Source organism: Homo sapiens, chromosome 4 (genome assembly GCF_000001405.40).
Source record: "Homo sapiens chromosome 4, GRCh38.p14 Primary Assembly".
Lineage (NCBI taxonomy): Eukaryota > Metazoa > Chordata > Mammalia > Primates > Hominidae > Homo > Homo sapiens.
This window is the reverse complement of record NC_000004.12, coordinates 187,011,160-187,026,942: the sequence shown is the minus strand read 5'-3', so window position 1 is coordinate 187,026,942 and position 15,783 is coordinate 187,011,160. Positions and strand designations below refer to the sequence as shown.

The 15,783-nt window shown below is 38.8% G+C and overlaps 1 long non-coding RNA gene across 6 annotated transcripts in view; it reads right to left on the bottom strand.

Moving 5' to 3' along the window:
* The window catches only part of LOC102723906 (uncharacterized), a 220,555-nt gene that overhangs the window by 34,274 nt on the left and 170,498 nt on the right, over positions 1–15,783 (bottom strand). For all 6 annotated transcript variants that reach the window (XR_007058501.1, XR_007058502.1, XR_002959826.2 and 3 more), the window contains exon 2: positions 7,058–7,122. This is a non-coding gene — a long non-coding RNA (uncharacterized LOC102723906). The remainder of the gene's footprint in view (positions 1–7,057; positions 7,123–15,783) is intronic.

Sequence of the window (15,783 nt, the reverse complement as noted above, 5' to 3'; positions counted from 1 at the left end):
CCCCTCCAAATCTCAGGTTGAACTGTGATCCCCCGTGTTGGAGGTGGGGCCTGGTGGGAGGTGTTTGGGTCACGGGGGCAGATCCCCTATGAAAGGCATGGTGCCCTCCCCACGGTAATGAGTGAATTCTCCCTCCATCAGTTCTGACAAGATCTGGTTGTTTAAAAGAGTCTGGCACCTCCTCATCTCTCTGGTTCTCTCTCTTGCTCCCCTTCACCTTCCACCATGAGTTAAAGCTTCCTGAGGCCTCACCAGAAGCTGAGCAGATGCTGGCACCATGCTTCCTGTATAACCTGCAAGACCTTGAGCCAAATAAACCTCTTTCCTTTGTAAATTGCCCAGGCTCAGGTACTCCTTTACAGCAATGCAAAACAGACTAGCACCTGATACATAATGGATGCACCGTTGTCTGGGGATATCATCACATACAAGTTGCACACCGTTTCTTCCCTCAAACTCACATTTTACAAGAGAACTCGATTCCAGTTGAATTCTCAGGTTTTCACAACCACAGAATAAGTTATCCCGTTCTATTCTCTCCACAAATAAATGAGAATTAGAATAGAGATGAATAGTTCAACACTGTTGCCTGCAAATTAGTTTCCACAAGGTGCGCTAGTGATCAAAGACAAGGTTCAGTCCCACAGATGAATCTAGAGCATATCATCAAGACGGACATGTTAAAAAGCACAGTGTGGCACATGCCACAGCAGAAGCACGGGGCACATGCAGAGACCAAGGAGTAAAGGACAAATTCTGTGTGCAGGGGCATTGAGAAGGGTTTGCCATGTGGAGATGCTGGAGCTGGTTACATAATGGTGGGAAGGGAAGGGGAATTCCAGATAAGGAAAGACCATTTTCACCCGGTGATACACAGAAGCCCCAGAGAGCGAGCATCGTCAAGATCTCTGCCTCCATCCCACAGAAAGAAAATTTCAAAAATGTGTAAAGTTGCAAGCATTTCAGCATTTCAGCAAATCAATTCTACTTACTTAAGCTCTGGACAGAATATCAGCCCTCATCTTGATATATGGTAGAACAACATTTTGTTTTCACTTCCATCCCATTTCCAAAAGAAAACACAGGAGAATTTAATCTAAAAAGGAGGGCACAGGATGTTAAATTTTCATTTGGTGTCTGAGAAGCAACAGTGCCATAAATGCACAAAGAGCTGGGTGAATTTGTTTATTTTCTGTAACAAAAGTCTAATGATAACTAGACTAAAAACAGTGTTTTCCTCCATTATATTCAAAAAAAGAAATATCATATATGTGCTATGTGTTTGTCAGTCTGTATTTGTCTTATGCAATTTAATGGGTATCAGTAAAAAATTCAAGATTTTCTGTTGAACAGTCTCATAAAGGCTTTCTTGTATCAAACATAACAAACCTAAGTGCCTTGTACGTCACGGCAGGTCAAACCAGTCCAGTGCCTAATATTTTCAAGGTTCTCAGCAAACTCCAAAATTCTAGAAATATGTCTAAGATGCTTAAGTGTAGCCCTATTTCTCAAAGTCTTTTCCAGACCAGTGAAAAAATGAAGAATGGCTCCATCATCATGTTGTGTAGAATGACTTTGCGTGTTCCATATCTCCATACCACAATTCTATAGTACAGGTGCATGGAAAGCATCTGCATTTGGGGGAGATGTTAATTTCCCTTTCTTCAGAACTATCCCAGCTTCTTTGATTCAAGTTGCTTTCTCAAATACTTGCTTTTCCTGAACTCCACTGAACCATGAAATATAGGATGTATTTATGATGTTTTGGAATTGTAAATAAATAGTATGTGAAACCATATGATCATGTTTGTTGTTGTTGTTGTTTTGAGACATAGTCTAGCTCTGTCACCAGGCTGGAGTGCAGTGGTGCAATCTCTGCTCACTGCAACCTCTGCCTCCCAGGTTCAAGCAATTGTCCTGCCTCAGCCTCCAGAGTAGCTGGGATTACAGGCGTAAGCCACCACACCCAGGTAATTTTTTTTTTTTTTTGTATTTTTAGTAGAGATAGGGTTTCACCATGTTGACCAGGATGGTCTCGATCTCCTGACCTCGTGATCCACCCACCTGAGCCTCCCAAAGTGCTGGGATTACAGGCATAAGCCGCCATACCCAGCTAATTTTTTTTTTTTTTGTATTTTTAGTAGAGATGGGGTTTCACCATGTTGACCAGGATGGTCTCGATCTCCTCACCTCGCGATCCACCCACCTCAGCCTCCCAAAGTGCTGGGATTACAGGCATAAGCCACCACACCCAGCCATGACTATGTTTTTTATTGAAATTTTTAATTCTGTCTTTAAAACCATGACTGAATTAATACCCTTGAACAGTTAAACATTTGTTTTGCTTCCCCTATCCCACAATGGGGATACGTTGTCTGATTATCTGGCAAAGTAGTGCACCAGCACCTCAAACTCCATGACAACACAACAAATGTCATCAACTCTTTAGCCAAATAGTATGAGTTCCGTGATTGCAGATTGCATCAGATAGTCAGTGGGCAGCCGATAAATTTGCCAAAAGCGTGATACAGGGACTGTTTATAAGGTGAGGGATTATAGGAAAGTGCGGAGGGGTCAGAGCAGCATTTTGGAGATGGGGACAGTGAGGTGCAATTAGTACTCCTCGGCCTGTGGGAGTAACAGGAGGAAGCAGTTGCCAGAACATCAGGGAAAGGGAGAGAGATGCAGGCAGGTACCGCCTGCTTACTGCCTCCTTCAGTCTCCAGGTGGTGCTCCCTGTTGGTTGGACCTAACTCAAAGTCTGAAAGCAAGGGAGGTGCATTGATGTGGAGCCTATAGGTCAACCTCCAGAGCACACAGCAGAGTGGAGAAGGGTGGAGTGGGTATCTGGAAGGCAAAAGGAAGATGTCCTGCCTAGCCATAGACCTAGAATTTAGGACTTGAAGTTTCACCTCCTGACCCTGAACATTCCAACAATGAATGGATCATGAACTCAAATTTTCCAAGCTTGGATCTGGTCATGTGCTCATCCTTTTCTAGAATTCATTCATTCTTTCTTATTGTTGGAAAGCATTGCCCCAGCAAAGCAGTAAAAAGTAAGTAAAGTGAACTAGATGCAAATATCCAAGCACCTAAATCATATCTGAAGAGTGATTTTGGCAGTAAGAGGAAAATATGGCTCCTGGGTTGTGTACTTCCATGTGCTCCTCTTGTAAACAAAGCATGGAATCCATCAATAGCTGTGATACGTTTGAATATATTCAATAAAGAGAAAGCAGATTTACGAATTCATACATTCCATAGTCAAACCTTAAGGAGACTATGCTAAACTGACTGTGTCAGGCTTGATGTCACGCATCTTCAGATTGACCAAATGCAAGAAGCATTACCATACAGCAAGAACTTTACTTCAGTCATAGCTATGTATTTGGTTCTATTTTTGGTTATGACATTTCTTCTAAAACTAACTCTTTCATATCCACAAAACGTGGGATCCAATATGCAATGGAGAGTTACTTATGCTTCTTGCTGTATAGCCAAGACATCTTAATAAGAAAGAAAACTTAATAAATAATCAAGTTTCTTTAGATATAGCCTATACTTGAGATAAACTGAGATCTTTCTAATGTGCTCCTTACTGAATTGAAGTCTTTTAAAAACTAGTTGAAAATAAAATTTTTTAAACTTCATTTGCAAAGTAGTTTTCTAATGGATTTGGTCCTATCATTAAGATCACCTCACTTAACGACTTTAAGCCAGTCATACATATATATTTTTCCACCAAAAAAGTAAATTTCACCTGGTTTTTTGTGTAAATTCCTGTCCACAGGAACATCTTGAAGTCTGGTCTCTGTAGGTCTGTGGCAAAATAAGCTGGGAGCAACCGGGAAATGCACACTGTGTGCTGGCTCTCGAAACACATCAACAGCAAAATATTGAATTATCACATTGCCTGTTTTGGGAATAAGTTTCACTAGTCAACTTAGATCCAGCATTAGTAATTTGTGAAACTTGGCTCTTATCCAAGTGAGCAGATATATTTCATAGAAACGGCTATTTACAAGGTTGCTGAGTTCAGGTGAAATCAGCTATTTCTATCTAAACCCCAAAAAGGGATGGCCTTTTGTCTATGTTCTGAAGTACGACTTGAGATTATAAACAATTCTGCAGGCTAGTGAGAATAAACCGTATTATTTTAAACTTAGACATGATCCTGTCATTACCAGGGGTTTCTAAATGTTCTGAGTTTTTATTCTAAGGGCCATTGATGCATTTAGAAACTTAGTTTTTAAATTTGAAAGACATAATTAATGTGGTGGATTTTCAGAATTAAATCAGATTCCAAGGTACCATAGTTCTTAGAAGCTTTTTTGAACTTGACAGGTATCTTGATTAGAATTACTTATTGTTTTTGTGATTTTATTTCCCACATTTGCACATATCATAAACTAATTTGTAATTTCATTAGCTACCACATTCATCTCTAGATTATCTGCTTTTACAAGCAGATACATTTTTATATACTTCAATGATCCAGCACACTGCCTTGCATCTAATAGAAACACATTAAATTACTTTGTCAATTCAATCAACAATTTAATGTGAATTATTTGGCTGTAGTTATCTCTCATTTTCTGAAATACCTGTAATTTTTAAAAAAATTGTTTTTAAAGTATTTCTATAAAACACCACTTTTCTCCATTGCAAAAGTCAAGACTTTCTTGTGAGGTAAAGTCTACAATTGATTTTGTTGAACATTTTTAGACACACCAACTCATAGCATCCCGCACGCTACATTCCAAATGCTTCTGCATCCATTTAACATTTGTGACATGAACCATACTATCGTCTCTAAGAAGCCTTTCTTGTCTATGAAATCTTCTTTCATTTCGAGTGAGAGGGTTGGAATAATATTTATAAAGTTTGTCATATTATGGAGTGTTTTAACGCTTACTGATTATGTTATATATTAACTATTTTCTTGCAGTGAAGTCATAAGTCCCTGTACAGAGGAGGTGAAATGCCACATTCTTCCAGGAGGCCCATCTGTATCCAGGTAAATTCCCAGCAAAAATGGCACTGAATAATTACTTACCAGCTGACATATTAGTACTGTCTACCTTGTTCATCCTACCTTCCTCCAAATGAATGAAATATTTTTATATTTGAAAATATGTACAACTCCTAGATATCACCTTGACTTCCTATTGTTTGGTCTAGCCTAGGTTAGAGAAGCAGTTTCAGCTCACTTAATAATTCCTGCCCACTGGCTTTGCTGCCCACAGAGCTGTGTTGAGTAGGGTTGTAAAGCTACACCAAGGCTCAGCAGGAAAATCATCACACTCAATTAGAAGTATCTGACAAGAAGAGGCATGCCTATGGAGACTTGCATGATCTGGCTTGGGTCATTCACAACACATAAAGGAGATGGTTGGTGGCATTCTATAGGTAGAGTCCACCATGTAACATCCGATCTATTCCAACTTATTCATTTCTATTGTCCAAAATCCAAGTGAAATACATAAAAAGTCCCTTGGGGTTTAGATGAGCCCTAAATTTAATCTTAGGCACATGAAAAATCAATTTTTTTTTTTTTGAGACAGAGTCTCACTCTATTGACCAGGCTAGAGTGCAGTGGCACGATCTAGGCTCACTGCAACCTCCGCCTCCCTGGTTCAAGCAATTCTCCTGTCTCAGCCTTCCAAGTAGCTGGGATTACAGGTGCCTGCCACCATGCCCGGCTAATTTTTGTATTTTTAGTAGAGATGGGGTTTCACCATGTTGGCCAGGCTGGTCTAGAACTCCTGACCTCAAGTGATCCACCCACCTCGGCCTCTCAAACTGCTGGGATGAGCTACCATGTCTGGCCTGAAAAACATGATTTTATCTGGTCCTTTTCAAGATGTGACTACTTAACACATTTTAAAAGACAAGAAAAAGCATTTCTCAAGTCCAAAGGTTAAAAGGCTTTTAAAAAGGAAACATACATAACTTTCCCAAGCTGACTTTTCGTCTTCAGAGTAATTTTTGTTTTTTTGTCTTTTCTGTCATGAGCTAGATACATCAAGAAACCTTGGAGTGGTTAGAGGGGCAACAGAATGGAACAATTCTATCCTACTGGAATTCCTGTTTCAAAATTATAACAAGGTCAATGTGATGGAACATCCTAGCTCAGATTCAGTTAGGGCAATGACCAAGAAGATGCTTCACTGAACCACAGAGAAAGCGGCAGAATTAGACATTTACTTTACCTCCCACTGCAAATTGTTAAATACTTTCAAAATTTAACTGGGCATTAAATGCATGTATAATTAACTTTAAAATATTCCTTGTTTCAAAATATTCCCATAACCAGCCAAATGGGAAGCATATGTGTTGTTTTAATCACAACTGTTCTACTGGAGGCCGAAGGCATTGAAACTTAAAAAATCTCAGCAAGTTTATTTAATATAACATAATAATATTAAAAATAATCCTTTGTATTTTCATCTGCACATGTCAACGAATTTTGGAAACATCAATTCCGTAATCTTCACCAATGCATTCAATTTAGATGACGATAAATCCACTCCAAAGCGAACTCTTTTCCACATTGTATGTTTTCCTTCATGATAGAAAAGAGGCTGCCTTTTGCCCCTCAATTTCAAATATTGACAGCCTAGACCTTTCACTTCTTATTGGAAAGGTAAGCCATAGGTCTTAAAGAAAGAAGTTTGTGACTTTCAGTTACAGGAGATTCACTAGAGAAATAGAAAATGACAGCAAGCCGTTTCCTGTGTTTTGTTCCTTAAGAAAACACTGAATCTGATGCTGTGATAAGAGATACTGACAACACAAATGAGCTCAAACCCCAGCAGGCTTCCTCTCTGGGCTAACAGTCCTGCTGGGAGGCGCGTGCTTTTCTGCAACGAGCCGTGTGCACTTGCAGAGCCTCAGCCCTGGCCTCCTTCTCATGGTTGCCTTCTCACTTGTGTGTGCATAGCAGATTTCCCAGGGAAATCTACAGTTCATACAAAATCAGCGAATTAAATCCAGCAGCTGCTGGCCCTCGTGGGTCAGTCTGCTGAGAGCCATACCCAAACCGACCAGGACTCACTCTCCGCAGTGTGCTCTCGCTTGGTCTTCCCCACATCAGAGGCTGGTCCAGATGAACCGTACCACCTGAAATGTTGTAACATTAGAGAAAACAAATTGAGATAACTCAGGCTGAATCACCGTTATCCAATGAACAGCTTACTGAAAGTTATATACGATGCACATTTGCATAGATACATTCACCTACCAACAATTTAAAAGAATCAGAGACAATTAGCATTGTTATTTGCATTTTTCCAAAAAGCTCTCTTCTAGGCCAGGCGTGGTGGCTCACGCCTGTAATCCCAGCACTTTGGGAGGCCAAGGCAGGCGGATCACCTGAGGTCAGGAGTTAGAGACCAGCCTGGCCAACATGGTGAAACCCCATCTCTACTGAAAATACAAAAATTAGCCAGGCGTGGTGGCACGTGCCTGTAGTCCTAGCTACTTGGGAGGGTGAGGCACGAGAATTGCTTGAACCCGGGAGGCAGAGATTGCAGTGAGCCGAGATCGTGCCACTGCACTTCAGCCTGGGTGACAGAGGAAGATTCTGTCCCAAAAAATAAATAAATAAATAAAAGCTCTCTTCTAAATCCTTGGTCAGTAGCAGTCTACAAGATAACTTGGCTTGGATTTAGATTCATTTTTTTTAAATTGTTGTTTCATCTAATTTCTCAGCATTTGTTGCTTTTCTGCTCCCTACCATCCCAGGTAACCCCATAATTGCTTGCTTCCCATCCCAGGATAATTTAATAACAGGCAGCTTTATATCAGCCAGTCCCTTCCCTGCATTGTGCTCTGGAAGATTATTGCAGAGAGTTTTCAACCCACCTAAACTTTTAAAAAAATACTCAGACATCTTACTCAATTACTTGCCAATAGCTCATGACTAATTTCTTTCTAATAGCAATACTGAGATCTGTTCAGTCGCTGGGAGAGTAAAGGGCACAGTTTTTCTCCAATGCCGTCTGCAAAGTGTCTTCTCTACCGGCAAGGTATTGCAGTACTCTAGACTTTGAAGGATGGGAACAACTGTCAGGGTTACCTGAAATAATCTCCCCAACTTCTTAGAAAAACTTTTACATCCACAATAGCACTTACAAAATCCTCTTGAACCATCAATCAAACTTAAATAGATATACCTTCTGCTTCCTTGATCCATTTCATATTACTAGGGTGGAATACATTGTCACATGATTTCTCTTCCTACGCATTGCTTTCCATTGAAACAGTGGCTTTGCAAAACAAATTTAGATTTGCACATCAATCTATTTCAAAGTTAATGTTTAAGATGTGCTTTTTACTTTTAACACAAAAATATTGACCACTTTATGTATTTGATGTGACATTGATTTTTGCATTAATGCTTTATCAGAAGTGTTCAGTGCCTACTGTATTGCCAACTCCAACTTTCTTTGTTAAACAGAAGAAATTAAGCAATTAAATTGTTGTTCTGTTTTCATAGTGGAATTAAAAATGTATATCTGTTTTCTTTTTTTTGCATTTCTAAAGTTTTATTTTACCAACAGAACTTTTGCAATAATAAAAGAACTCAAAAATTATTTTTAAATAAAATAACACATCTGATATGGGCAGTTTATATACTCCAGGCCAGAATTGGAGGAGAGTCTTCTGGGGAATCTTAGAAAGGAGAATAAAATCTAAGACTAATGAAGTTGGGGATCTTCAAAGAAGGAACCTAGTCGCAGCATCCTGCAGTCCTCTGCTTACCTGGGCAGGAAAGATATTGCACCCTGCAAAAAAAGCAAGATGCTATCAAATGGAACGGTAGGAGAATTTGAGAGTAGATTAGCGATAAGAACATACAAATCTAAACCAAGAACAGAAGCAAACAGTTACTAGTTCAAGTGGGTTTTTTAAAGAGTGTAGAAAAGGATGAGAAAATCATACATATGACCTGGCTCAGGTGTTAACAATGTTTACGCCGTCCTAATACAGTATATTCAAATACCCAGGGTGGGCCAAGGGTGGGCCAACCAAAATCACTTACTCTTACTTTATGTTGGGATGAGGAATTAAGAGGGATGGAGGGGAAAGCGGTTACAAAGAGAGTCAAATTCTCAGCTCTCATTTTGGGAAGTCAGTAGTTAACACATAAAACCAAAAAAGTCAAGAAGTACTGAAAAAACTGTTAAAAATTAAGAAGTAGCAAAATAAACCTGTTAATTAGAGGCATGGTAATAAATAACTAGAAAAAAAATTAGCTAAGAGTTAAAAGGGGGTTGTTCCCAGCAAAAGGAAAGCAGGTAGGGCAGTCAGGAGCTGATGCTTTTTGTAACAAGCCTTATAGAATTATTTACTTCTTAAAAGTGTGTACATAGGTAAGTTTAAGTAAAATAAAACCAAACTAGGACCTATTACATATATAATAGTATAACTCAAGAATTGTTAAAACTATAAATGACAAATTTAGTGTATTCTGTTCATGACAGGAATATTGCTACAAGCATTAGATTCAACTACCAATTCATATGACTCCGGCTTATATGGCTATACCTTAGACTCTTGGAAGGGATCAGGTTTCAACATCCCCTCCCCCGTTAAGGACACTGAACAGGGAAAAAGACAGGGATTTGCTGACACACTATTTCAACAGCATCAACATAAACAGCGTCACATTGTTGAGCTCTCCCTAAAAAAAGATATGCAATTATTTGTCCATCTGACTAAATTCCCCAACTACAAATGAGATGAATGGTAGCATAAGAGAAACAGCTCTGAACTTGGAATGTAATCCTGGGATGATTAATCCCAGTCAACCCAAATCACTCCATCTATAATAGAACCTCTCTAGAACTCTAGCCCCTGTACTCTGTTTTTCTTTTTCAGCACTTGTTATTTATTTTACATATTTTTTCTTTATTTGTCATTGATATCTCCTCATTAGAACTTCATGAAGATAAGTACTTGTTTTGTTTTGTTCTAATTTTTTAATTTCAACTTTTATTCTAGTTATAGGGGGTACACATGCAGGTTTGTTACATGGGTATATTGCACCCAGGTAGTGAGCATAGTGCCCAATAGGTGGTTTTTCAAGCCATGACTTGCTCCTTCCCTCTCCCCTCTAATAGTCTCTGGTGTCTATTTTTCTTATGTTTATGTCCATGTGTGCTCAGTGTTTAGCTCCCACTTATAAGTGAGAACATGTGGTATTTGGTTGTCTGTTCCTATGTTAATTTACTTAGGGTTGTGGCCTGCAGCTGCACCGTGTTGCTACAAAGGACATGACTTCATTCTTTTTTTATGGCTGCGTAGTTTTCTACGGTGGATATGTACCATATTTTCTTTATCCTGTTCACCAGGGATGAGAACCTAGGTTGATTTTATGTCTTTGCTATTGCAAATAGTGTGGCAATAAATATACAAGTGTATGTGTCTCTTTGGTATATTTATCTATTTTCCAATGGGGATATACCCAGTAATGGGATGGCTGGGTCGTATGGTAGTTCTGTTTTAAGTTCTTTGAGAAATCTCCAAATGGATTTCTTTGACAGTAGTTGAACTAATTTACATTCCTGCCAACAGTACATAAGCATTCCCTTTTCTCTGTAGCCTCGCCAGCATCTGTTATTTTTTGACCTTTTAATAATAGCCATTCTGACTGATACGAGATGGTATCTCATTGTGGTTTTAATTTGCATTTCTCTGATCATCAGTGATAGTGAGGATTTTTTTATATGTTTCTTGGCCACTTGTATGTCTTCTTTTGAGAAATGCCTTTTCATTTCCTTTGCTTAATTGGGTTGTTTTTTGCTTGTTGATTTGTTGAAGTTCCTTATAGATTCCAGATACTAGACCTTTGTTAGCTGCATAGTTTGTAGGATGTCTGTTTACTCTGTTGATAGTTTCTTTGGCTGTGCAGAAGCTCTTTCGTTTAATTAGCTCCCACTTGTCAATTTTTGTTTTTGTTGCAATTGCTTTTGGGGACTAAGCCAAAAATACCTTGCCAAGGCCAATGTCAAGAAAGGTATTTCCCAGGTTTTCTCCTAGGATTTTTATAGTGTGAGGTCTTACATTTAAATCTTCACTCCATCTTTTTGTATTGGTAAAAGGCAAGGGACTAGTTTCATTCTTTTGCATATGGCTAGCCAGTTGTCTCATCACCATTTATTGAATATAAAGCCCTTTCCCCATTGCTTATTTTTGTTGGCCTTGTTGAAGATCAGATGGCTGTAGGTGTGTGGCTTTATTTCTGAGTTTTTTATCCTGTTCCCTTAGTCTATGTGTCTGTTTTTGTACCAGTATCATGCTGTTTTGGTTACTGTAGCCTTATAGTATAGTTTTAAGTCAGGTAGTATAATGTCTCTGGCTTTGTTCTTTTTACTTAGGATTTCTCTGACTATTCAACTCTTTTGGCTGCATATGAATTTTAGAATGGTTTTTTCTAATTCTGTGGAGAACAACATTGATCATTTGATAGGAATAGTGTTGAATCTGTAAATTGCTTTGAGTAGTACGGTCATTTAACAACATTGATTCTTCCAGTTCATGAGCATGAAATGTTTTTCCATTTATTTGCATCATCTCTGATTTCTTTCAGCAGTGTTTTGTAGTTCTCCCTGCAGAGATGTTTCACCTCCTTGGTTAGCTATATTCCTAGATATTTCATTTTCTTTGTGGCTATTGTAAATAGGATTGGATTCTTGATTTGACGCTCAGCCTGGCTGTTATCGGTGTATAGAAATGCTACTGATTTTTATATATTGATTTTGTATCCCAAAACCTTGCTAAAATCATTTATCAGTTCTAGTAGCATTTGGCAGAGCCTGTAGGGTTTTCTAAGAAGACAATCATGTCATGAATAAAGGGAGATAGTTTGATTTCTTCTCTTCTTATTTGGAGGCCTCTTATTTCTTTCTCTTGCCAAACTGCTCTGGCTAGCACTTCCTGCTCTATTTTATTCCAAGCTCCCTCTCTGCTGCATCTAGCACAGAGTAGAGGCTCAGTAAACATTTGTTAAATGCATGAATTCATTTGCCCCACTTGTAATCACCATGGCAACACCATCTTAGTTCCAGCTGCTATAACAAATTACCATAGACTTGGGAGGTTAAACAACATTTATTTTTCACAGTCCTTGAGGCTGGGAAGTCCAAGATCAAGGTGCTGGCAGATCCCACGTCTGATAAGAGCCTGCTTTCTGGTTTACAGGTGACTGGCTGTCTTCTCACTGTGTTCTCATGGGAAAGAGAACAGAGGAAGCAAGTTCTCATGTCTCTTCTTATACGGGCACGAATTCCATTCATGAGGTCTCCACTCTCATGACCTAAACCTACTAAGACCCCATCTCCTAATACCATTAATTTTAGGGTTAGGATTTCAACATATGAATTTTGGGGGTACATAGGCATTCAGTCCATAACATGTACTCACTGTGATTTTGTCGAGGGAATGGCTTTCCCATGGACTATCAGAGATGGGGCTGTTATTTCTAAGGGGATCTGCTACAGTTTCCATAATAATGGGGGAACATAACACACAGAATAACTTAAAATGACTGCACAGTCCCAGCACCACCACTCTCCTTCCCCTGTCTGCATAGCTCCTCAACTACCTCCAAGCCACTCCATGGTGTACGTCCCTTCCTTGGCTCCCAAATTCCAATGAGCAAAGGCTCAAAACACTTCCTACACAGACAACCCACATATAAACCTTCCAAGGACAAGCAATAATTAAAATACTCATGGCAGTATAAATTTAGATTTTGAAAACAAGCAGTTCTCCAAAGGAAACAAAACCTGCAGGGACAGCCTTTAACAATAGTAGAGCAGGACGGTGTAGTCCTCTGGGGCCATAACTTCAGACTTCTCCATTCTAGACCAGAATCTCTCTACATATAACTATGGAATGATTTTTCAGGACAAGAGGAATATATCCCTCAAAGATACACACACACACACACACACACACACACTCTCTCTCTCTCTCTCTCTCTCTCTCTCTCTTTCTCTTTCTCTCTCTCTCTCTATTGGTTCCGTTTCTCTGGAGAACCCTGATTAACAGACTTCTCTTAGAAACCAAAAGCATTTCTTATAATTTTTAATGAACAGTTTTTCAGTTTCTCCTAACAATAACTTCTAGTTCTAGACCAAACCAATGTCACCTTGTTACATTAATATAAACAGCTGCCAACTAAATCTGATATTCCAATAATCATTCATGTTTTGGAGCCACAGACTGCAAAGAAACAAGCTTATTTATAAAGGGGCCTAAGGATAAGGAAAGAGACTCGGGAAAGAAAAATAACCAGGGGGATTTTTGTAAATAGTTTAAGCCATCCACTTCAAACTAGGTAGCAAGATTAGTTGCCTTTTCTGGAGAGAAGACTCTCATATTGATCATGTAACAAAAAATACGATGTACTGAAAGAAGTCATGCCAAACAACATTATGGAACATATTGATAAATGTGTGTCTCCTAGCAATTTCACATTGTAAAATGAGATTGAAATACGCAAGAAATGGGATTAATAGCCCCGCTTGAGACGTGGCATCTTGAAAAATGGCTGATGACCATGTCAAGTGTGACTGCAATTCTCAAGAAGCTGCTTGCCATAGAAAACCCTTGTGATTTGTTATGAACTATGGCTTGCGAATGGAACTGGGCCCTTTTATTGTCATTTGCATTTCATTACCAGATATTATAGATTGGAAGAACTGTTTAGGAATCTCACGTGGGAGATGTTCTAGGACTTTGCATGTTAACTGCAAAACATTTATGAGCCCGTTCTTCCTTGATGATACCTAGGTAATAAACTAAAATGACTACTTGTACCAGAGTGATACAAATTATTTATCCTTGACTTCCAGCTCCTTAAGAGGCTCTACTTTTTTTTTTGTGGTCTGGGAAAATAAAGATGATGCCTCTGTCACAGAAGTATAGTGTATCTAAGCCACCCAGTGCTATGCCCAGCACTTGATATGCATTCAACACATGGTACCTATTATCATTACGAGTATCTATCTAGGAGCTCTGCCAGTGATGATGCTTAAAAGACTATGCATCTTGCCTAATGTTAGAGCCATGGTTTGCGCCTGTCCTTGACATTAGAGTGACACTTAATTCTGCAAATGGCGAGTTCTTCTGTGCTAGTCACAAATCTTTGCTTATCTTTCTTCATCCTGGCGTCTCTTCCCAGCCTCAGGTCTTCCTGTTCTCCTCTATTCCAACAAAGCTGGGCTTTGCACTAACTACCCAACACGCTTTCTCACTGCTGTTTCCACCTGTCTCGCTGTCGTAGATGTCCAGCCAAGTGTCCTACACCCTATATAATTCCCTGTCAAGAGCCTGCCCTTTCTTCACGCTCCATAGAAAATGCTCCTTCATGAAGCCACCTCCTTTTCCAGTGTGCTCCTTTCTTCTATTAAATCCCTGCAAGCATCTCTTACGAGGCTATGCTTTTTCACTAAAGGATATTACTGTCGTACATCATAAGTTCCTTGAAGATGGGTTTTGTCCCATAATCTTGGATTCTTCACTATTGTTTTACCTTATTTTTTTGGTATACAAAGTGCTCAAATACTAGTTAACTTGAAAGGCAACTTCTAAAGTAAAATAATATTTTAATATATTCTGTAGTGATGATGATATTGATTATATCATCTACCTTGGACTTGAGTTCATAGCATCTGGTGCACAGTTTGTGGTTATTAATGTTAAATAAGAATCACGACTGTCTCTAAGCATGGATCTCACTCATTGGGGCTGGTAACTGTACTTGGAATATTTTACTTATGATCCTCCAGTGTATATATTTTCTTTCTTTAACAAAATAAAGGGATTTCTTTAAGTTTTGCTTTTAAAGTTCAACTTTCTATCACTGCTATCTGTGAACTCCAAGTATGTTAAATCATATTTGGTTCCTGGTTTTCCTACATTTATTACCTGTCCTCTCCCACTGTCATAAGGTAAAAATCAATTGATTATATCATTGGAAAAATTCACCATGGGTGACAAGAGAAAAGGAAAAAGAATTTAGACAGTACAATTTTCCTGGTTGACTCAGCTTCAGGTAGGGAATCCACTGCAATTATACTCAATAACTTAGAAAATTTGATGGCTTGAAGTCCTCATACTTTTCTTCAGTCTGTGAGTCACTTAACTCAAAAAATGTCTCTGAGTTTGACATCTAACAAAACCATGGAAACAATACTAACAGTGCTTCCTCCAGCCTCCCCGTAGAGAAGTATGGTGTTTTCAGAAGGAGTATGCATAAACAAAGCCACCTGGTTTATAGAACTATCCCCATAGAGTGATTCCCTTTCCATTCTCATTCAACTCTTCTCAGTTCTTCTGAATTCTTCAAGGAAGATGTCTCCACTTGGGAATACTACCATTTTTAATAAACTCTCTGACATGTGCTAAGGTTCAATTGAAAAAAAAAAGAGAGAGAGAAGGCTTCAGGTACAGAAGCTTCAGTAAGTCAACAGTACACAGGAAGAATTTAAGATTGTTTTATTTTCATTGAACTTATCTTTATAATTACAGTCTATATATAATGAATTGGGTTTTCTATTTAAATTTCTTCTAACAAACATTTGTTTAAATCTAAGCAGTGAATCAATTAAAAGGAAACATTGGGTACATAGAGAAAAGAGGTGTAAGACAAAAATCGTGGCTCTGACTCTCTATGGCCATTAATATGACCAGAGTCTGGAGGAGACTGTCCCGGAGGCTGTGCCACATTTTATCTGGAGAAAGCTTAGAGAAGAAGAGGAAAGGTTTAGC